This window comes from Homo sapiens, chromosome 14 (genome assembly GCF_000001405.40).
Source record: "Homo sapiens chromosome 14, GRCh38.p14 Primary Assembly".
Lineage (NCBI taxonomy): Eukaryota > Metazoa > Chordata > Mammalia > Primates > Hominidae > Homo > Homo sapiens.
In genome coordinates this window covers 49,888,218-49,909,773 of record NC_000014.9, presented here as the reverse complement: position 1 = coordinate 49,909,773, position 21,556 = coordinate 49,888,218, and the positions used below count along the sequence as shown (strand labels likewise).

At 41.6% G+C, this 21,556-nt stretch overlaps 1 protein-coding gene and 1 pseudogene across 1 annotated transcript, besides 7 other annotated features; one reads left to right on the top strand and one right to left on the bottom strand.

The window, feature by feature from the left end:
- Nucleotides 6,815-6,934: an enhancer, noted in NCBI's record as "active region_8328". NCBI's record gives its function as "activates an Ori minimal core promoter by ATAC-STARR-seq in GM12878 lymphoblastoid cells {active_cell/tissue: GM12878}" and the evidence as "EXISTENCE:reporter gene assay evidence [ECO:0000049][PMID:35858748]".
- RNU6-189P (RNA, U6 small nuclear 189, pseudogene) lies at nucleotides 7,824-7,924 on the top strand (annotated as a pseudogene).
- ARF6 (ARF GTPase 6) lies at nucleotides 12,720-16,692 on the bottom strand. Its single transcript, NM_001663.4, has 2 exons — nucleotides 16,617-16,692; nucleotides 12,720-16,518 (listed from the first exon to the last, which is right to left on the bottom strand). Exon 2 carries the CDS (start codon nucleotides 16,035-16,037, stop codon nucleotides 15,510-15,512), a length of 528 nt encoding a protein of 175 aa, NP_001654.1. The 5' UTR covers nucleotides 16,038-16,518; nucleotides 16,617-16,692; the 3' UTR covers nucleotides 12,720-15,509.
- Nucleotides 13,471-13,620: an enhancer, noted in NCBI's record as "active region_8327". NCBI's record gives its function as "activates an Ori minimal core promoter by ATAC-STARR-seq in GM12878 lymphoblastoid cells {active_cell/tissue: GM12878}" and the evidence as "EXISTENCE:reporter gene assay evidence [ECO:0000049][PMID:35858748]".
- Nucleotides 15,763-15,812: an enhancer, noted in NCBI's record as "active region_8326". NCBI's record gives its function as "activates an Ori minimal core promoter by ATAC-STARR-seq in GM12878 lymphoblastoid cells {active_cell/tissue: GM12878}" and the evidence as "EXISTENCE:reporter gene assay evidence [ECO:0000049][PMID:35858748]".
- Nucleotides 15,843-16,162: an enhancer, noted in NCBI's record as "active region_8325". NCBI's record gives its function as "activates an Ori minimal core promoter by ATAC-STARR-seq in GM12878 lymphoblastoid cells {active_cell/tissue: GM12878}" and the evidence as "EXISTENCE:reporter gene assay evidence [ECO:0000049][PMID:35858748]".
- Nucleotides 16,323-16,512: a silencer, noted in NCBI's record as "silent region_5712". NCBI's record gives its function as "represses an Ori minimal core promoter by ATAC-STARR-seq in GM12878 lymphoblastoid cells {active_cell/tissue: GM12878}" and the evidence as "EXISTENCE:reporter gene assay evidence [ECO:0000049][PMID:35858748]".
- Nucleotides 16,553-16,942: a silencer, noted in NCBI's record as "silent region_5711". NCBI's record gives its function as "represses an Ori minimal core promoter by ATAC-STARR-seq in GM12878 lymphoblastoid cells {active_cell/tissue: GM12878}" and the evidence as "EXISTENCE:reporter gene assay evidence [ECO:0000049][PMID:35858748]".
- Nucleotides 17,033-17,132: an enhancer, noted in NCBI's record as "active region_8324". NCBI's record gives its function as "activates an Ori minimal core promoter by ATAC-STARR-seq in GM12878 lymphoblastoid cells {active_cell/tissue: GM12878}" and the evidence as "EXISTENCE:reporter gene assay evidence [ECO:0000049][PMID:35858748]".

Here is a 21,556-nt window from a genome sequence, read left to right as displayed (position 1 = left end):
CCAGCGCTTTGGGAGGCCGAGGTGGGTGGTTCACTTGAGCCTCAGGAGTTCGAGACGAGCCTGGCCAACATGGCAAAACCTCATCTCTATTGAAAAAAAGAAAAAAAAAACAGACATGGTCTCACTATATTGCCCAGGTGGGTCTCAAACTCTTGGCCTCAAGCAATCCTTCCATCTTGGCTTCCCAAAGTACTGGGATTACAGGTGTGAACCACCACTCTTGACCAGAAGGCAATTTAGAAATGTTGTCATGCTAGTCTAAAATCCATACTGTATTCAACAAGATACCCAAGAAATAATAAAAGAAAAAGATATATTAGTATTTATTTAAAACATTTCCCCTAAGATACCACTACCATATTATTATACTAAGCAAAAAAAATAAAAAATAAAAATGTAATGTTTTAGTCTTTAATTCAAGTTTGTCTTGATGACAAAAACAGGATTTAAGATACTTCAGTAAGTTTCTAAATATTAGGTTCTTGTGTAAAATGCATTTACTGTCATAAATCAAGTATTACTCATGAGTTGGAGAGAATTAAAAATGCAATCCAATCTTATAAAAAGAGTCCAAGTCATAAAGACAAGCAATCAATCATAAAAGGTCAAGAATTTTTTATATAATATGCCAGCGTTTACCTTGAGAGACCTATCTATGTTTACCTACAGACTTGATCATTAGTTACATTTGAGATTTTTTTTTTTTTTTGAGACGGAGTCTCACTCTGTTGCCCAGGCTGGAGCACAGTGGCGCGATCTCGGCTCACTGAAAGCTCCGCCTCCAGGGTTCACACCATTCTCCTGCCTCAGCCTCCTGAGTAGCTGGGACTACAGGCGCCCGCCACCACGCCCGGCTAATTTTTTTTTGTATTTTCAGTAGAGACAGGGTTTCACCGTGTTAGCCAGGATGGTCTCGATCTCCTAACCTCATGATCCACCCGCCTTGGCCTCCCAAAGTGCTGGGATTACAGGTGTGAGCCACCACGCCTGACACCATTTGAGATTTTTAAAGTTTCAAAAATAAGCCAAAATACAATGCATTTATTTCAATTATGGGCTCAGGGTTCCTAAGAAATAATTCATGACTAGGAAAAAAACTCCAGCATATCAAATAGAAATATGATGTGTCAATAGCTACCAGCATTCTAGGTTTATCCTAAATCCAATAATGAGTCATCAGTTATTAACCTCAAAAAACTTGTTTTAAAAGCAGATTAAGAATCACTATTGGTTACCTAGAGCTAAATATATACACAGAGATACTGATACATTACCCATATTTTCAAATCACTGCATGTCTTTTGGTTTGAAGAATATACCCGCTACTTTTTTCTACTGAATATTTGTTGAAATAATACATGAATCCAGCCGGGTGTGGTGGCTCACGCCTGTAATCCCAGCACGTTGGGAGGCCCAGGCGGGTGGATCACGAGGTCAAGAGATAGAGACCATCCTGGCCAACATGGTGAAACCCTGTCTCTACTAAAAATACAAAAATTAGCTGGGTGTGGCGGCACACGCCTGTAGTCCCAGCTACTCGGAAGGCTGAGGCAGGAGAATTACTTGAACCCAGAAGGTGGAGGTTGCAGTGAGCTGAGATCACACCACTGCATTCCAGTCTGGAGACAGAGCGAGACTCCGTCTCACAAAAAATAAAAATAAAAAATAAATGAATCCAAGTAATATTACAAGGTTTCTCAAAACAAAAAAGAAACTTATTTTAAATTCACTGATATCAAGCAAGATTTTTCAAATAATTCAACATTAAGTTCTCCAAGTCAAAGCCCCAGAAAAAGGAAAGTTATGGTTTATAGTCACTGACTCATTTCCTTAGATGATTCAACCTCGTGGCCTTAACACTGACTCGTCTTCCTCTCTCCCTTCCTATTTTAATTCAGAATGGGGGAAAAATAAAGCTTTAATACTTTAGAGCTAGCTTTTCACATCATAATCTTTTTAATAAACCAAATCTTTCTACAAGCTTTTATACACTTTTAAAATTGAAGTCCTATCATATAATTCAGTGAACAGTGGATCAAACTCAGAACATGCTACAAGACTTTTCTAAAAGTTATCGAAAAAATTCAGGAATTTTTTTCCACTTCTTAAAAGTTAATAGTCAAATGCTCACTGGCACAAAGATGACTTCATTAAAATGTATGTTTTCTGCTACCATGCACAAACCTCTGAAAATAAGCCTGTCCTTCATCTTGTTTTTTCACGTATTCTTTAAATATTTATACACCATAAAAGTTGAGTTCTTTATGAATAAGTTCGTGAGTTTACCTAATGCAAAGTCCAAGACACAAAAAGAAATGAAGAGAATTGAACACAAACACACCAAAGGCACGTATTCACACGCCCATGACTGTTGGCCAAATGCACAGCAGAAACAGGATACATCTAGCTCTCTCCAAGTAAGGGCAAGACAAACTGTGAAGGGTTCAGTAATCACCTGGTACTAATGTTGCTGTTGAAAAAGAGCAACTTGCAAACAATGCCTTCATCAAGAACACATAGATAGGTATAGCTCTAACTATAATAATATGATGTACCCCTACCTAACAACACGGGATGGGAGACAGCAAGAGTTTGCTCTCTGCTTTCTTGCCCCTTGTGCCTCATCCCCTACCTCAAAACCTTTCTCTTCAACCAGGCCCTCAGGTGCTATTGAGTAAATAAAGAAGAATGATTGGGGGTTATTAAAAGTTGCCAACTCCCTCACTCATTGCAAGGAAGCGCCTTCCTCATATACTTCAAATAAGACCCCGCCCCTCCAAAATGTTGCTTTGTCTTCAGGAGCACGCACAAGCACCTGACAGGGAACAAATTAGAGGAGAGAACATATCCTATAGAGAGAAGATTGAAGTTCAAAAAGAATTCTTTAGAATTGACGTTAGAAAGTCATTGGGACCTGGCCTGGCACTTGTAATCCCAGCACTTTAGGATGCAGAGGCGGGCGGATAGCCTGAGGTCAGGAGTTCGAGACGAGCCTGGCCAACATGGTGAAACCCTGCTAAAAATTCCACTAAAAATACAAAAATTAGCTGGTGTTGTGGTGCATGCCTATAGTCCCAGCTACTCGGGAGGCTGAGGCAGGAGAATCGCTTGAACCCAGCAGGCAGAGGTTGCAGTGAGCCAAGATAGCACCACTGCACTCCAGCCTGGGCGGCAGAGTGAGTGAGACTCCATCTCAAAAAAAAAAAAAGTCATTGGGACCTTCCTTAGTTAGAAAGATTGGGTGAAATGGCCAGAAACTAGTTTGCAGTAGAGACCGGAGGCAGTAGAGAAGCTGCTAATAGGAGTGTTCCAGAGAGCTGGTGACAAAGACAAGATGATAGATGTTAAGGGTGTGATACCAGAGGGAGATGTGTGTTAAAGTTTATAAAAACACTTTAAGAGAGTCATTTAATTTTCAAAACATTGTTCAGGTGGGTATTGTAGTTATTGATGGTTGGGGGTGGAGTATGAAATGAGGAACACATGCTACTCAGTTTTCTAGAGGTAAGGAAAACTTGCAGAAACAATGCATTTGAAAAGGAAGTAATCTTGGTCGGGCACAGTGGCTTAGCCTGTAATCCCAGCACTTCGGGAGGCCAAGGGGGTGGATCACGAGGTCAAGAGATAGAGACCATACTGGCCAGCATGGTGAAACCCCATCTGTACTAAAAATACAAAAATTAGCCTGGCGTGTTGGCTCACGCCTGTAGTCGCAGCTACTCAGGAGGCTGAGGCAGGAGAATATCTTGAACCCGGGAGGTGGAGGTTACAGTGAGCTGAGATGGCACCACTGCACTTCAGCCTGGGTAATAGAGTGAGACTCTGTCTCAAAAAAAAAGAAAAAAAAAAGGAAGTAATCTTAATGCTGTTAGCTTTTTTTTTCCCCCATAGTTAAGAGTCTCCCCTTGGAATGACAATGTCCAAGTAATTGTAGTCACATTATAATTACAAATGTAAATGATGGTGTCTCCCGTCTCAAAAATGTAGAAAGTGAGCTTATGGTGGCTGTAACTAGATATTTGTCCAGTAAAATCGTAACAGTTAGTGATATAGCTGAGACTAGACTCAAAATTTATTTGTATTTATCATTCAAATAGCCACGGAGTGAAATTTAACAGAATTTCTAATATGGAGGCATCATGCTGATTAGCTTAATCCCTATTTAACTAAAATAGTTACATTTACTATGAAACTTCCCTTAATATTTGCAAACTTAGGTTTAATACTTTATCAGCACCAGTTCTGAATTGTAGGATATTTTCTTCCACGGTAATTTAGGAGTTAGAGGAAAAAATATCTACAGGATGAGAAAACGGAGTATAGAGTTAAATAACAGTACTTATTATTGAATAAATATTGTGTGCCTGTCAGCATGCTATGGGCTTTAGATGTAATTCTCACAACAGATCAGCACAATAGGTGGTATCATCTTCCATTTCACACATAAGAAACTTGATGCACAAACATGTGTTATTTGTCCATGATACCGCAGCTAGTAAGTATACTCAAGCCTAAGTCTTGTTGACTTCAAAGCAATAGCCTTGAGGAAGAGAGGCTCCTAACAAACTGCTGTGTGTGTGCGTGTGTGTGTGTGTTTTAAGCATTGAATCCAGTAGGACATGGTGGCTGTGATGCAACAGGTCTGTCATTAATCCGATTTATCTTGCTAATAGAGCCTAGTATGGCACATGGAACTTAGTAGGGTTTCAGTAAATGGTGAATAAATGAATCAATATATATACAATATTTTAATCATTTCAAATATTATTTCTTTGGGGAACCTAATTTAAATGTATAAAATATGTAGGCTGGGTGCAGTGGCTCACGCCTGTAGTCCCAGCACTTTGGGAGGGCGAGGCTGGCAGATCACTTGAGGTCAGGAGTTCGAAACCAGCCTGGCCAACATGGTGAAATCCTGTCTCTACTAAAAATACAAAAATCAGCCGGGCGTGGTGGCATGCACCTGTAATCCCGGCTAATCGGGAGGCTGAGGCAGAAGAATTGCTTGAACCCAGGAGGCAGAGGTTGCAGTGAGCCGAGATCACGCCACTGCACTCCAGCCTGAGCAACAGAGCGAGACTCTATCTCAAAAAAAAGAAAAAAGAAAAAGAGAAAAAGTATAAGGTATATGTTTTATCCCAGAGACTTGACTTTAGGGTCCAAATTCTTTCTGTAAAGGGCCAAATAATAAATGTTCTAGGCTTTGTGGGCCATAGGGCCTCTGTCACAAACTCTGCTGTTGTGCAAAAGCAGCCATAGACAATACACAAATGAATGCTTGTGGCTGTGTTCTGATAAAACTTTATTTACAAAAACAGAACAGTGGGACCAATTTTGTTTACAGGTCATGGTTTGCCAACCTCTGGCCTAGAAAAATTCATCACATCTAAATCATCTCAACTGGTATCCCCTACTATAGTTACTTAAGTTGCAGATACAGTATGGGAAAAAAAAGAAAAAAAATCACCCTCTAAGAATGAGCTGTCCAATATGATTGCCACTAGCCACATGTGGCTATGGAGAACTGAAATGTGGCTAGTCTGAATTGAGATGTGCTTTAAATGTAAAATACACATTTGAATTGTGAAGATTTGGTATGAAATAAAGAATGTAGAGCTGAGCATGGTGGCACACACCTGTAGTCCCAGTTACTAGGGAGGCTAAGGGCAGAAAGGATCTCTTGAGGCCAGCCTTGGCAACATAGCAAGACCCCAGTCTCCAAAAAAAAAAAAAGTATGTAAAATATATCATTAATAATTATTTCACACTTTGGGAGGCTGAGGCAGGTGGATCACGAGGTCAGGAGTTTGAGACCAGCCTGGCCAATATGGTGAAAACCCTGTCTCTACTAAAAAATACAAAAAAAAAAAAAAAATTAGCTGGGCATGGTGGCAGGTGCCTGTAGTCCCAGCTGTTCGGCACGCTGAGGCAGGAGAATCACTTGAACCCGGGAGGCAGAGGTTGCAAGACTCCGTCTCAAAAAAAAAAAAAAAGTGGGGGGGCCCGGTGGCTCACGCCTGTAATCCCAGCACTTTGGGAGGCTAAGGTGGCAGATAATGAGGTCAGGAGATTGAGACCATCCTGGCTAACATGGTGAAACCCCGTCTCTACTAAAAATACAAAAAAAAATTAGCCGGGCGTGGTGGCAGGGACCTGTAGTCCCAGCTACTCGGGAAGCTGAGGGAGGAGAATGGCGTGAACCCGGGAGGCGGAGCTTGCAGTGAGCCGAGATCGTGCCACTGCACTCCAGCCTGGGCGACAAAGCGAGACTCTGTCTCAGAAAAAAAAAAATTCTTTTTCATACTGCTGACATATTGAAATATTTGATATATTGGGTTAAATAAAACATTATTAAAATTGAATTCACTTCTATTTTTTAAATGTGAGCACTAAGAATTTTAAATTACATATTTGGCTTGCATTATGTTTCTATCGGGCAGCACTACTCTAAGAATAGTTACAAAAGAGAGAATCCCTAACAGATTCAAACTCTTTTTCAGCACTGCAAACAAAGTACTTTACCCAATTATCAATGTCTCTCCATTGAAGTATGCTATATATCCTGATTTCTACCAATGGTGTTATCATTATCTTTTATGTAAGAATTAAGATCAACGCCGGGCCGGACACAGTGGCTGACACCTGTAATCGCAGCACTTTGGCAGTCCGAAGCGGGCAGATCACGAGGTCAGGAGTCCAAGACCAGCCTGGCCAACATAGTGAAACCCTGTCTCTACTAAAAATACAACAGAAAAAAAAAAAAAAAAATAGCCGGGCGTGGTGGCAGGCGCCTGTAATTACAGCTACTCCGGAGTCTGAGGCAGGAGAATCGCTTGAACCTGGGAGGCGGAGGTTGCAGTGAGTCAAGATCGCGCCGTTGCACACCAGCCTGGGCGACAAGAGTGAAACTCCATCTCAAAAAAAAAAACAGATCAAGGCGGGGCACAGTGGCTCACACCTGTAATCTCGGCACTTTGGGAGGCTGAGGCGACCGCGTCATCTGAGGTCAGGAGTTCAAGGCCAGCCTGGTCAACATGGTGAAACCCCATCTCTACTAAAAACACAAAAATTAGCGGGGCATGGTGGTGGGCGCCCGTAGTCCCAGCTACATGGGAGGTTGAGGCAGGAGAATCACTTGAACCTAGGAGGCAGAGGTTGCAGTGAGCTGAGATCATGCCATTGCACTCCAGCCTGGGTGACAGAGCGAGACTCTGTCTCAAAAAAAAAAAGAATTCAGATCACAATTGTTAACGCTTTCTTCCTCCACAAGTAACATATTTCACCAATTTATTTCATTTTCTCACTTCTTTCTCATTTCTCTACACTGTACTTGGCCCTCATTTTCTCAACTGAATTATCAACAAAGTCTCCTGAAAGGACTTCTTTCTTCCAACCTCTATCCATAATCTTGATACATGATTCTATACAAAGCTACTAAATACTCCTAAACACTGTGACTCTCTCCTGCTATCTATCTATCTATATGCACAGAAAGATATGTGTGTATATATATATATTTACGTATGTAAAAATTCAGTGGCTCCCATTACACACAAAACAATATCCAAACTACTTGGTAGAGTTCTTGAGGGTTCCTAAATATCTTTTTAAACTTAGACGTTTTGAATCTTACCTCCTTTCGTACCACTCAAAGTCAGATATAGGATTGTAGGTAAAATATAGGATGGCCAGTTAAATTTCAATTTAAGTTTTAGTATATAATTTATATATATAGTATATATAATTTAATATATAATTTTAGTATATTGCTTGGGATGCAGTTGTACTAAAAAAATAGTTTATCTAATTGAAATTTAACTGGGATGCTCACTTCAGCAGCACATATACTAAAATTGGAACAATACAGAGATTACATGGCCCCTGTGCAAGGATGACACAAATTCATGAAGCATTCCATATAAAACTTTTCTTAAAAGAAATCTATATATAAGTATACAAATAATCAGCTGAGTGAAAATTTTAATTTTTCCTATTTTTCACAATGATCTGTCAAATTCACTATCAAGCAGTCAAATTTGATTTTTACAGAAAAAAAAAGTTCCCTAAGTGCCTAATACTGTGTTTTCCACTGTACACAAGAGTGAAATTATACAGGGACTCAAAACTTATTGATGGCCGGGCGCGGTGGCTCACGCCTGTAATCCCAGCACTTTGGGAGGCCGAGGCGGGCGGATCATGAGTTCAGGAGATCGAGACCATACTGGCTAACACGGTGAAACCCCGTCTCTACTGAAAATACAAAAAAATTAGCCGGGCGCGGTGGCGGGCGCCTATAGTCCCAGCTACTCGGGAGGCTGAGGCAGGAGAATGGCCTGAACCCGGGAGGCGGAGCTTGCAGTTAGCCGAGATCGCGCCACTGCACTCCAGCCTGGGCGACAAAGCAAGACTCCGTCTCAATAAATAAATAAATCTTATTGATGATAAAATAAGAAAATTATAGGAAATTTACTTAAAGCCAGGTATTTATAAGAAAACATACACCAAAAAGATACTAAGAACATGAGTAAGCACTGGTTCACCTTAGTCACATTCATAGTACAGCAGAGACTACCTGAATCCAAATTCAGGCTCTGCTACTTATTAACATATACCTCTGTATGCCTCAGTTTTTTCAACTATAAAATGAGAGCCCTATCTCCCAAGGTGGCTGTGAGGATTTAGAGAATTAATACCCATTCAATGCTTAGAACAATGCCTGACACATGGCAAACATTCAGTAAATGCTAACTCTTACTATTCTTAGAATATTTCTGAGTTTGATTTCCTTAGGCCTAACTCCAACCTAGGACTTATTCATAAAACTAACTTTTAAAAATAAACACGTGGGCCGGGCGCGGTGGCTCACACCTGTAATCCCAGGACTTTGGGAGGCCAAAGTGGGTGGATCACCTGAGGTCAGGAGTTCGAGGCTAGCCTGGCCAACATGGTGAAATTCCATCTCCATTAAAAATACAAAAAAAAAAAAACAAAACCAAAAAAAAAAAACTAACCAGGTGTTGTGGTGCACCTGTGGTCCCAGCTGCTTGGGAGGCTGAGGCAGGAGAATCTCTTGAACCTGGGAGGCGGAGGTTGCAGTGAGCCGAGATCGCGCCACTGCACTCCAGCCTGGGTGACTGAGCGAGACTCCTTCTCAAATAAATAAATAAATAAACACATGGGCAGGCACGGTGGCTCACACCTATAACCCCAGCACTTTGGGAGGCCGAGGCGGGTGGATTGCCTGAGCTCAGGAGTTCGAGAACAGCCAACACGGTGAAACCCCATCGCTACTAAAAATACAAAATTAGCTGGGCGTGGTGGCGCATGCCTGTAATCCCAGCTACACGGGAGGCTGAAGCGGGACAATCACTTGAACTGAGCTGAGATGGAGCCACTGCACTCCAGCCTGGGCTACAAGAGCGAGACTCCACCTCAAAAATAAATAAATAAATAAATAAAATAAAAAATAAAGACATGCAGAGAAAGCACTTTGGTTTGCCTTATTATAACCAACTTCAAAGATCCAAATTTCTGCTCTACCACAACAATGTTTTTTTTTCCCTCTCATATGCTATAACCTTCTCAGGCTATTCAGTTGTAATGGAAAACAACTTTTATAATCATAAATAACTAGTTTCACATAGGTCTTTCTATGAACTACAAATGTTTTCATTTCTTTAAAGCTCATTTCTAAATGTCCTCAATAAAATTTACTTCCATAACTTCCGCTAGATTACTTTGTAGTAGTCTAAAATAGTTATAGGTTTCACAACTTTGTAATAGTTTAAATAGTTTAAAATATAGATTTCTCATCCTACTTGTAGAAATTATTTAGTATGATTTAGTATTAATATATAACCCTCTAGGCAAGAAATAATCCATGTGTGAAGCAAATTTTTCTAGTTTATATTGGTTAGAGGAATAATACTGGAAACCAAATATCATGCACCATAAGTTTCCACGTCAATAAAACACTTCCCCTTACAAACTTTCTCCATAAAAATAATAGACTTATGACTTAATTACAGAAAGAGTGGATAAAAAAGCCACAGTTAAACGATGTTATCTGAACCTACACCAAACTAATCTAGGTTATCTGGAAGAAAGGACACGTAACAGAGAATCACATTTAACTTAAATCCAAAGACCAGTAAAACTACCACAAAAATAAAAGAAATATTTAAAATGAAGTGACTCACACAGTTTTAAACAACTGTGTTAAAATCAAAACTGAGAAACTACTGATTTCACGCATTTAAACTCATTTAGAAAAACAAAATCCAGGTTAGACTACTCAATAACAAGTCTTAGCTCACTAAATGTATAAAATGTGGAAATTCTATGTCACTGTGCGCTAATTTTTTTTTTTTTTTTTTTTTTGGGACGGAGTCTCGCTCTGTCACCCAGGCTGGAGTGGCAGTGGCCCGCTCTCGGCTCACTGCAAGCTCCACCTCCCAGGTTCACACCATTCTGCCTCAGCCTCCCGAGTAGCTGGGACTACAGGCACACACCACCTCGCCCGGCTAATTTTTTGTATTTTTAGTAGAGATGGGGTTTCAGTGTTAGCCAGGATGGTCTCAATGTCCTGACCTCGTGATCCGCCCGCCTTGGCCTCCAAAAGTGCTGGGATTACAGGCGTGAGCCACCGCGCCCAGCCTCTGTGTCCTAAAATTTTGATTAGATTCATTTAACAATGGCCTTTCACTTTCAATTGTTCCATTTCCTATAAATTTTGATAATGTTTTAAAAATTGGCTTTACACTCGAGGTTAAATGTTTTTCCTAAGAGCCAGATAGTAAACATTTTAGGCTTTTCAGGCCATATATTGTCTGTCACATATTCGTGGTTTTTTCTTAAAAACTTTACAAATCCTTTAAAAATGTAACACCCATTCTAGCACAGTCCCTATAAAAAACAGGCTGCAGCCAGATTTGCCCTTGGCCAGTTTTCCCACCTCTGCTTTACACTGTACTATTATCTTTCTGTGACTATGTCAATTATACCAATATTAACATTTCCTCAAGTATCTGCTCAAACATCACCTCAATGAGGTCTTCTCCGAACACACCTACCTATTCCCTAATATGTGTACATACATAACATATTGTACAATATATAGCATATAACCTAACAGACTTTTACTTATCATCTGATCTTTGTTCTCTGCCCCCAACCCTCCAGGTAAGTTCCATGAATACAGATTTTTTGTTTTTTTTTTCACTGTCGATCTCCTGCACCTCAACAGTGCCAGGCATATTAGTAGGCTCTCAATAAAAAAATCTACCCTCACACTTATAAAACAAAATACTATGGACAAAATATGTATTCTATAACAAATGAAAGATATTCAAGGACAAAACTGACAAATACTTTCATTTTTAAATTCTTTCAAGTAGTCATAGAACATTTCAAATAAAGGGGGAAAAGGTTAAAATTTTTATTTTCCCACAATGTGAGGTTAGTTCTTACAGTCTAGTTCTCTTGAAATTTACCATTACTTCAGTTATATTTAATTGCAGATTTGCTTTAATTCCTAAATCCCGCTCCATTCTTGTTCTGCCTTCCTTGATCTCACCTCTGTGTTCCTTGCCTGTTCAGCTCACTAGTCTAGTCTGGCAACTTTTGTTTGGCAAAGCAACAAGTTGCTTTGCCTCTTCTATGGCTCCATCTCCCAACATTCCATTTTTGTAAACTCTCTAATACTGTAACCTTTACTAATCCTTACCATTTAATTAAAGCAAAAGGCTAGATAATATTGAATATTATACTCCAAATATATTATGTTCAGTGACTAATCACTTAAAAATTTCTTATAATTGCTGTATGTGGTTTTACAAATACAGTTTTTACCTATAAGGAAAGATACAACTTACCTTACTTGTAATCCTGATACATATTGGGCAAGGTATTGAGAAAATAACTTTTGGAATTTTGTAAGCTCCATCACCATTCAGATTATGGCTACTTCTAAGCTTATATTAAAACATAAAAACCCATTCATGGGGAAAATATTTTCTACTGCTAGCACTGAAAAATTGATACTTTGTCACAGTATCTTAACCACAGTACTAAATATATTAATAAATATTAACATGGGGTTAAATCATACTAGAGATCACATGAAGACATTCTAAAATCACACTATAAAAATTGCTGATATAGGAGGAAAGGCTTACAAGAATGTCTTTCAAACCCTTTTATCCAACAAGTTATTCATCTTTTACTTTTCTTTCTTCCAACCTTATCCTCTATGATACTATTTTACTTTCTAAATGAATACAGTTTTGCCATTTCGATAGGACAAACAATTTGACCTCTAAAAGAAACTTTGAAATCCAAAAGTCTATAAAGAATTAAGGCCTGAATTTAAGACTTAAGGCCAATTCTTTAGACACAATTCTCTACTTCTAAAAATGCTAAGGTTGTAATTTGGAAAAAACAGCAGAATAAAGACTGCTATGGGACCTCAAATTTTAAAAATTGTTTAACTGTGGTATTCTAAATTATCATACAATCAGATTAAGTTGGTGGAACTAAAACAGGGCGCATTACCTCAAACAGCCAGCATTTACAAGAACCAAATTGATTTTTTTTTCTTACAAAAGTCAGGCAACTTCCAAATTAAGTCACTTTTTACCATATACCCTGGAGAATAACATGGCCCGACACACCACACGTCCCACTTATCTAGTTCAAGCGAGTAACATAACGTGAGAAACTGCACTGTGTAATTCCTTTATTTTCTGCATATTAGTGCTTTACCAACACTACAACCATAAAGAACACAATTCCAAGTACTGTACTTTTTAGTTTGGGGAGATCACAGTCTACAGACTCATTTACTTATATTAAACAAGATTAACCTCATTCAAAACTTACTGCAGTTTATAAATTCACATAAATACAGAAATGGATGCAATTAAACAACTTCAGGATCTTATTTTTAAAATTCTTAGATAATTTTTTCTGCAGGCTATAATTACCTGCTCCAGTCACCAATGGTTATTGTTCAATTTAACTACATCAATTATAAACCTCTTATATCCTTAAAGAAAATTTTAAGTGAAAATTACAATTTCTTACCAAAAGGTTTAGGGTTTTCCAAATTTCAAATATTTGCTTCCCCCTCCCCCCTTTCCAGTCAAACATTTCAAATAAACTAAAAATAACCACATCTCACCTGCAACATTCAATAATAGCAATCACTTGATGTATAAAATTTTAACTATGCCCCCAGTTATTTTAAGACACAAAAAAATGGCTGCCTACCAATCTGTCTTCACAAGTTAGAAATACTACATTTAAGATTTAACATGAGGGTTTCAAGTTTCCTCCAGTTTAGGCATTTATACCTTTGTGCTTGTTTTGTTTCAGGATGTTACTATAGCATTGATATTGGATAACCCATATTTATATACTTTAAAATGCAATCATTTGAAACACTAAAAATTACATTTATGGTGGAGCTTTGGAAATTTTAGAAAGCAACCAGTGTTCTTAGATGTGTTTATCAGCCTCATTTCTAGAGCTCTTTCTACTAAAGTGAAACTGAGAACTTCGTACTTTAGTTGTATCCTGAAATCAAAAAAATCCCTCTGCACCAACAGGAGCCTACATGAGAATACCCTTTTGCATCTGCTTTAAGTAAAATGTTTGTTAAGAGTTTTACTTTGAATAGTTCATTTTTTTATAGTCTTACACTTCTCATACATCTTTGGTAAAAGCTCCATTATACAATATGGCCAAAGTGTGAAGGACCAATACTGTCCAACTATACCATGATATCCCGCTCAATTTTAGTTTTCAGACACCCTCATAAACAAAACCCACTCCACCTTTTCCTGTATACTGCCTTTGCAGTCTACATTTCTGAAATTCCCTATTTAATTCCTTGAGGATCACTAAAATTAATCCTTAAGGCTATATAGGAACCAGATGCTGCTTTACAATTCTGCATCAAGCATTAACATTTGGTTCAAAATATTATCATAGTGGTCGCAATCCAGTTACTGGTCCTAACCAGCTAACCAAGTAATCTTGTTAGGATCTGGATATCACCAGCGAGCACACTGCTTACACATGAAGAAAAATAAGTTTACATTCATTGTCATCTGTAGGTTCTTTCTCTTCATCCTACGTCCCCTTTAATAGTCATCCCTCAAGTCTACACATCATTCATTCATCACGCTTCCTTCCTTAAAGGAGACAGTGTACTATTGAACCAACAGGATATCTTTTTTATTATTTGCATGAGTTAATCCTACAAACAAAATTAAATACCTCTTTTATAAAACATCTTTTCCAGTGTTCTAATTGATGGAGATGCGGATCACTCATCTATAAAAAATGACTTACAGCTTCAGCTTAATCAGTTGCTATAATGTGAAAACAGGAATGTGTATTTTTTTCAACTAGGTAAAAGGTGCATATAATTTGAATTGTTAAATGTTTTATTAATGAACAAAGTAAACCTTTTAGTAATTTTTAAATTACTGGTCTTAGGTGTTTGAAACAAGGTAAAAGTATACATTCCAGTTTTGCCCAAAAGTCACTTAAAATATCTACAAATTATTTAATCTGTGTGTGGTAACACCATTATTGCTCCAATTTCTGGAAAGAGTCTATTTTCAAAGTTTAAAAAAGAGGAAAAACAGCAAAGTGGCTAACTTTGCAGTGGAAAGAAAAAGTGTCCTTCATGGGTTACACTTTCATATTTTTATGCAGCATTAAGTTATCTACGTTATGGGGAACTTGGGTTTTATTCCTACTCATGCATGATGTGTTTCAGAACTTACTTGCTGACATTTCAGAGAACTTCTTACATTACCTGTTTAACATACTGAGGTGCAACTGGAACATATTACAATATTACTCATTATTTGCCACTGTGGGCTAAGTTTACTATACTGGTCTTAGATATAAAAGGTCACATTTGAAATTACTAAGTTAGAACTCATAAGGAAGGGGGGGGAAGGCCTTAAATATAAAAGACAAACGGCAGTTTGATTAAGCAATAATTTTCAGTTTACTAGATGAAACAGACTTGCAACATAGTCTGCATGAATGCAAAATAAGCCATCTACAGCAAGTGATAAGGAAACTGGGCAAAAAAGGAAAAAAGCATACATAGGAAAATGAAAGATTCTCTCGAAATAAAAAAATCAAACTATTATTACAAAGGACTTTACCAAGAACTGCTGTGTTTCCCCCATCCCATCTGCTGGAAGTCAACAAGAGCATCTAGCAACTTTGTGTTCATGTCAAATGTCAGATCAGAGCATCCTAACGCAAAGCCAACAAAAAAAAAAAAAAAAAAAAAAGGAAAAAGAAAGGGAAACAAACAAAAGAGAAAACCCCCAAGCCCCGTCCCCGCCAAACTGTAGAACAGTAACTCCAGAGTTCAAATTCAAAAGAAGAGAAAGTGGCAATTGAAAGAGGTGATGGTGGCGATAATCCTATGAATGGGTTTTTGATTTCTCTCCTTCCAGGGGATGGGTGGAGAATGCTCATTAAGATTTGTAGTTAGAGGTTAACCATGTGAGCCCCTCATAGAGTCCGTCCCCTGAGGTGGCACAGGAGGGCTGCACATACCAGTTCCTGTCCCGAATCCGGGTCAGGCCCAGTTTCTCCTGGATCTCGTGGGGTTTCATGGCATCGGGCAGGTCCTGCTTGTTGGCGAAGATGAGGATTATGGCGTCCCTCATCTCCCGGTCATTGATAATGCGGTGCAGCTCCTGGCGAGCCTCATCGATGCGGTCGCGGTCGGCGCAGTCCACTACGAAGATGAGACCTTGGGTCCCAGTGTAGTAATGCCGCCAGAGCGGCCGGATCTTGTCCTGGCCGCCCACATCCCATACGTTGAACTTGACATTTTTGTAAGTCACCGTCTCCACGTTGAAACCCACAGTGGGAATGGTGGTCACCGACTGGCCCAGCTTCAACTTGTACAGGATTGTTGTCTTGCCGGCCGCGTCCAGGCCCAACATGAGGATCCGCATTTCCTTGTTCCCGAAGATTTTGGATAGCACCTTCCCCATCGCGTCGGAGGAGCCGGGGCCGGGGGCATTCAGGTGTCCCGGGTCCCCTCAGCCAACAACGCCGCCGCCGCCGCGAAACCGAAACGAAGCCTCTCGGCCGCGAGAGCGCCTTTGCGGCCTGCGTGGGAGTTGCCTCCTAAGGGCAGAGGCCCAGGCCCCCCGCTCACTCGGGCATCACCGACCGCACAACTTGATTTCTCCAGTCGCCGCCGCCACCCGGGCCCTGAGACTGCGCTGGGAGCCGCCGCCCTGCTGAGGCGCGGCCCGGCCCGGAACTGCCCTTCCCCCCGCAGGCGCCGCGCGAGCGCCGCCGCGGTTCCCGCTCCTCCGCCTTCCTCTCACCGCGAGGGAGACTGCAGCCCTCCGGCCCGCCCGCCGGCCTGCGAGCACTGGGCTCCCCACCGACCCAGGACACCCGAGAGGCAGCGCGGCTCCGGGGCCCCGTCAGGTCATGGATCCTCGCGGGAACTCGGTGCGCTGCCTGCAGAGAAACAGAGAGGGAGGGGAGTTACTGCCAGAGCTCCACAAAGGAGCGAAGACCGAGGTGGCCCGCCTTTCCAGCTCGGCCCAAGGGGTTACCTCCAGCCGCCGCCCCGAGCGCGGGCTCCCTCCGGCCTCCAACTCCTCCTCCCAGTTCTGCCGCCGCCGCTGCCGGAAAAGGCGCCGAGGAAACCGCCTCACTTCCCCTCCCGACCACGCAGGCGCAGCAGAGGCCGACCGTTCGGACAAGAGCGACCTCTGTAAGGAGAGCGGCCCGCGCGCCTAGCGTCATGGGCGCCACGCGCCGGAGGGGCGGGGCTACGGCGCCTCGGAGGGCTCGCAGATGCGGCCGGCCCAGAGCCCTCGAACCTCGGACTCTGACTCGCGCCTACCCGTGGCTCTTCTAGCGTCTCCTTCCCTGCTTTTCTCTTTTGCGCTCTGCCCTCCCCTGCCCACCCGAACCAAGGGAGCAGATCTACTGGGGGGCCCTACAGGGTGGGGCCCACGGGCAGCCCGCTCTCTCCACGAACCGAGCTGCCTCCAGGCCTGTTCCCAGACCTCGGTGCCCGCCAGATGCTCTGCGAATTCCCTCCGCCCGCCCCAGCCTTCCCGCACCCTCCGCGCTCCCTGAACGTCCCAGGGAAGCTCTGTTCGCTTTTGTTTTTTTTTTTTTTCCCTTTTTCGCAACCCCTTCTTGGCTTCCTTTATCCCTTGAATTTTGTATGTTTCCTGAAAGACACGTGGGAGGCCAGTGTCTCGTGTGGAATCTGCCAGTCAGTGCAGCGCTTTCCCGGAGTTGAGTTTACTCTGCAGCTCTTTTGAATGTTTGAGCCCTGTCTGCCTATAGGTCTCGTCAAGACCAGCCCATGTTTCTTAAAAACTGCAGTATTATGAAGAGTTCCTGTGCCTTGCCGCGTTTTCACCTTTTTAGAATGCGACATCTGTTCATCTTTAAAATATCATTTTATCTCATACTGTTAGTAGTAGCTTCTTAACTACTACCCATTCTTAACTTTAAGAAGCATAGAATTTAGAATATAGAACGACCGCTTGTATGGCCTGGATCTGGGCACTTAACCTTACTAAGTTTATCTCGTGTAAACTGACCTTGCTAACTCACGTGAGGCTTAAATAATACAATGTGGAAGACTTCAGGGCACATTTTTGGTTTTTTGGTTTTTGTTTGTTTCTTGAGACGGGGTCTCACTCTGTCGCCCAGGCTGGAGTCCAGTTGCACAATCTCGGCTCACTGCAGCCTCCTCATCCTGGGTTCAAGCAGTTCTGCCTTAGCCTCCGGAGCAGCTGGAATTAGGTCGCCCACCACCACGCCCGGCTAATTTTTGTATTTTTAGTAGAGACGGGGTTTCACCATGTTGGCCAGGCTGGTCTCGAAGTCCTGACCTCAGGTGATCCACCCGCCTCGGCCCCCCAAAATGCTGGGATTACAGGCGTGAGCCACTGCGCCCTGCCAAGGACACATTTTTGTATCAAATGGTTAATGATAAAATTAGACTTAAAATAACGTGAAACCTTCAAATATCAAGGGGAGAAAAACAGGAAATGGGTATCTTTGTTTAAAAAGCAAGATGCTATAAACAGCATATGGTAACATACTGTTTTTATTAAACAAATTTAAAATATTAGATAATGGTAGATAGGTTATATGATAACCTTATAAACGTCATTTCAGTCGGAAATAAACTTATTAAACATTAATATTCTAACAATTATTTCATTTACTTTCCATTTACCTTAAGATGAAGCACTGTCATAAAACTGAAAAGCTTAGGAGTCTGAAGATTGGGGTTCAAGTGTCATCCCCAACCCCACCTCTCTATTTTTGGGACAAGGTCTCGCTCTGTCACCAAGGCTGCAGTGCAGTGGTGCGATGTCAGCTCACTGCAGCTTCAGCCTCCTAGGCTCAAGAGATCCTCCCACCTCAGCCTCACCAGTATCTGGGACTAAAGGCGTGCGCCACCACGCCTGACTAATTTCTCTATTTTTTGTAGAGACAGGTTTTGCCATGTTGGCCAGACTGGTCTGGAACTCCTGGCCCCAAGTGATCTGCCCGCCTCGGCCTCCCAAAGTGCTGGCATTACAGGCAAGAGCCACCGCGCCTAGCCCTTTTTTAATTTTTATCTAGACACCTGGGTTATGTTTTTGTGTTTTGTGTTTTTGTTTTTTGTTTTTGAGACAGAGCCTTGCTGTGTTGCCCAGGTTGAAGTGCAGTGGCTCGGTCTCGGTCTCGACTCACTGCAACCTCTGCCTCCCAGTTCAAGCAATTCTCCTGCCTCAGCCTCCCGAGTACCTGAGACTACAGACATGCACCACCACGCCGGGCCAATTTTTGTATTTTTAGTAGAGACGGGGTTTCACCGTATTGGCCAGGCTGGTCTCGAACTCAACCTCAAGCCTCAAGTGATGGGCAGGCCTTGGCCTCCCAAAGCGCTGGGATTAGAAGCGTGAGCCACCAGGCCTGGCCTGGGTTATGTCTTAAATTTTAAACAGATGAATGCTCCAACAGCTAAGTATAGAAAAATCTTCTCTACTTTTTGACTCAAAGCCTGTAAATGAAGAGATTTCTGGAATTTACACGCAAACCAGGCTTCCCTAGAGAATGCCATTTCATAATTTTTAATCTCTTCAACAACCACTTATGTTTATGATATTCCTGACTAAAACAGTATAAATAAAATACTATAATTTTTATTCATTTATTTATCATTATTTTTTGTAGACACAGGACTTCACTGTAACCCAGGCTGGTCTCAAACTCCTGGACTCAAGCAGTCCTCCTGCTTCAGCCTCCGAAAGTGCTGGAATTACAGGCCTAAGCCACTGTACCCAGCCAATACTATATCTATCTCATAAGAAATATGTTTACTTGTAAAAAATGGCTTAGACCTAATTTTTTTTGTTGTTGTTTTTCTTTGAGACGGAGTCTTTCTTGGTCGCCCAGGCTGGAGTTCAGTGGCGCAATCTGGACCCACTGCAACCTCCATCTCCCGGGCTCACGTGATTATCCTGCTTCAGCCTCCTGAGCAGCTGGGACTACAGGCATGTGCCACCAAGCCCAGCTAATTTTTGTATTTTTAGTAGAGACAGGGTTTCACCATATTGGCCACGCTGGTCTTGAACTCCTGATCTCGTGATCCACCTGCCTTGGCCTCCCAAAGTGCTGGGATCACAGGCGTGAGCCACCGCGCCCGGCCCTCTGTTTTTAAATTGGAATTAATGTATTCTCTAACAATAGTACCACACACTGTTTACCCTAATTTCTGAATTCTTATAACTCTTAAAAATCGCTCATTTCATAAGACCCTGTCAGGTATTTCTTTTTATCCCATCAAGTACCAAGGATGACTCTGACCACATGACAAAGGTGGTCTGACCATGCACTTGTTTGATGATGATTTTATCCCTTTTATCATTTGAAACCCTTAGGTCAGACTTACCCAGAATTGAACACTATTTTAAAGAAGGGATAAATCCTGGGAAATCTATTAGCAGTAGAAATAAAGTGTAAATAAAGTTATAAGAAAGTGTATCTTTAGAAAAATTGCTAATCCTGCCAGGCATAGTGATTCATGTCTGTAATCCCAGCTATGCATGAGGCTGAGGCAGGAGGATCCCTTGAGGCCAGCAGTTCAAGGTCAGCCTGGGCAACATAGCGAGACCCAATCTCTGCCAAAAAAAATTTTTTAATTAGGTCTCAAAAACAAATAAATATAAATAAATAAAAACAGAGCCGGGTGCGGTGGCTCACGCCTGTAATCCCAACACTTTGGGAGGCCAAGGTGGGCGGATCACGAAGTCAGGAGATCGAGACCATCCTGGCTAACACGGTGAAACCCCATCTCTACTAAAAATACCAAAAAAAAAAAAAAAAGAAATTAGCTGGGCGTGGTTGCAGGCTCCTGTAATCCCAGCTACTCGGGAGGCTGAGGCAGGAGAATGTCGTGAACCCGGGAGGCGGAGCTTGCAGTGAGCCGAGATCGCGCCATTGCACTCCAACCTGGGTGACAGACCGAGACTCCATCTCAAAAAATAATAACAGGCCAGGCGTGGTGGCTCACTCCTCTAATCCCAGCACTTTGGGAGGCCGAGGTGGGCAGATCACCTGAGGTCGGGAGTTCGAGACCATCCTGACCAACGTACAGGAACCCCATCTCTCCTAAAAATACAAAATTAGCTGGGCGTGGTGGCACATGCCTGTAATCCCAGCTACTCATGAGGCTGAGGCAGGAGAATCACTGGAACCCAGGAGGCGGAGGTTGCAGTGAGCCGAGATCACACCACTGCACTCCACCCTGGGCAACAAGAGCGAAACTCCGTCTCAAAAATAATAATAACTTTAGATGCTACATAGTGCTGTTTCAAAGAGAGAATAAATGAATTAATAAAAAATGAATGGGGAAGAGAAAAAAAGAAGAAGAAAGGAAGAAAAGGAAGGAAAGAAAAGAAGAGAGTTGTATTGAAAAGTAGAGCTTGGCAGTGTTGTAAACGATATCTTAATCCAAAACCCAGATTTAGGTTGGAAAGGTAAAATTCCTTAGAAAATTATAACCAGGTAGGTTCATGTGAAATTTCCTGCTCCATATCCTCTTTTTAAATTTTACTTTATAAACACACATAGTATATATACCAAGAACAAACAATGGAGCAGCTTCTATGCTGTTCAGAACCTTTGAACCATCAGCATATAATTGTCTGTAGTAGCTCCTACTTTAAGATACAGTTTTGAGCACAATGACCAAGATTTATGAGTGTGGAAATGGTTGTAAAATCCTAGGTAAATGTTACAACAATTTTACAAGGATTAAGCCGGACACAATTTATGAGTTTGTTTCCATTTCAAGTAAGAAAGATTTATCTTCCAGTAGAGTTAGAAAGAGACTCTGTCTCAAAAATAAAAATAAAATCGATTATATGTCCACAAATAATAGTCAAATAGCATAACCTGCTGAGTTAAAGACTGGCTTCAGGCCAGGTGTGGTGGCTCACACCTGTAATCCCAGCACTTTGGAGGCCATGGCAGG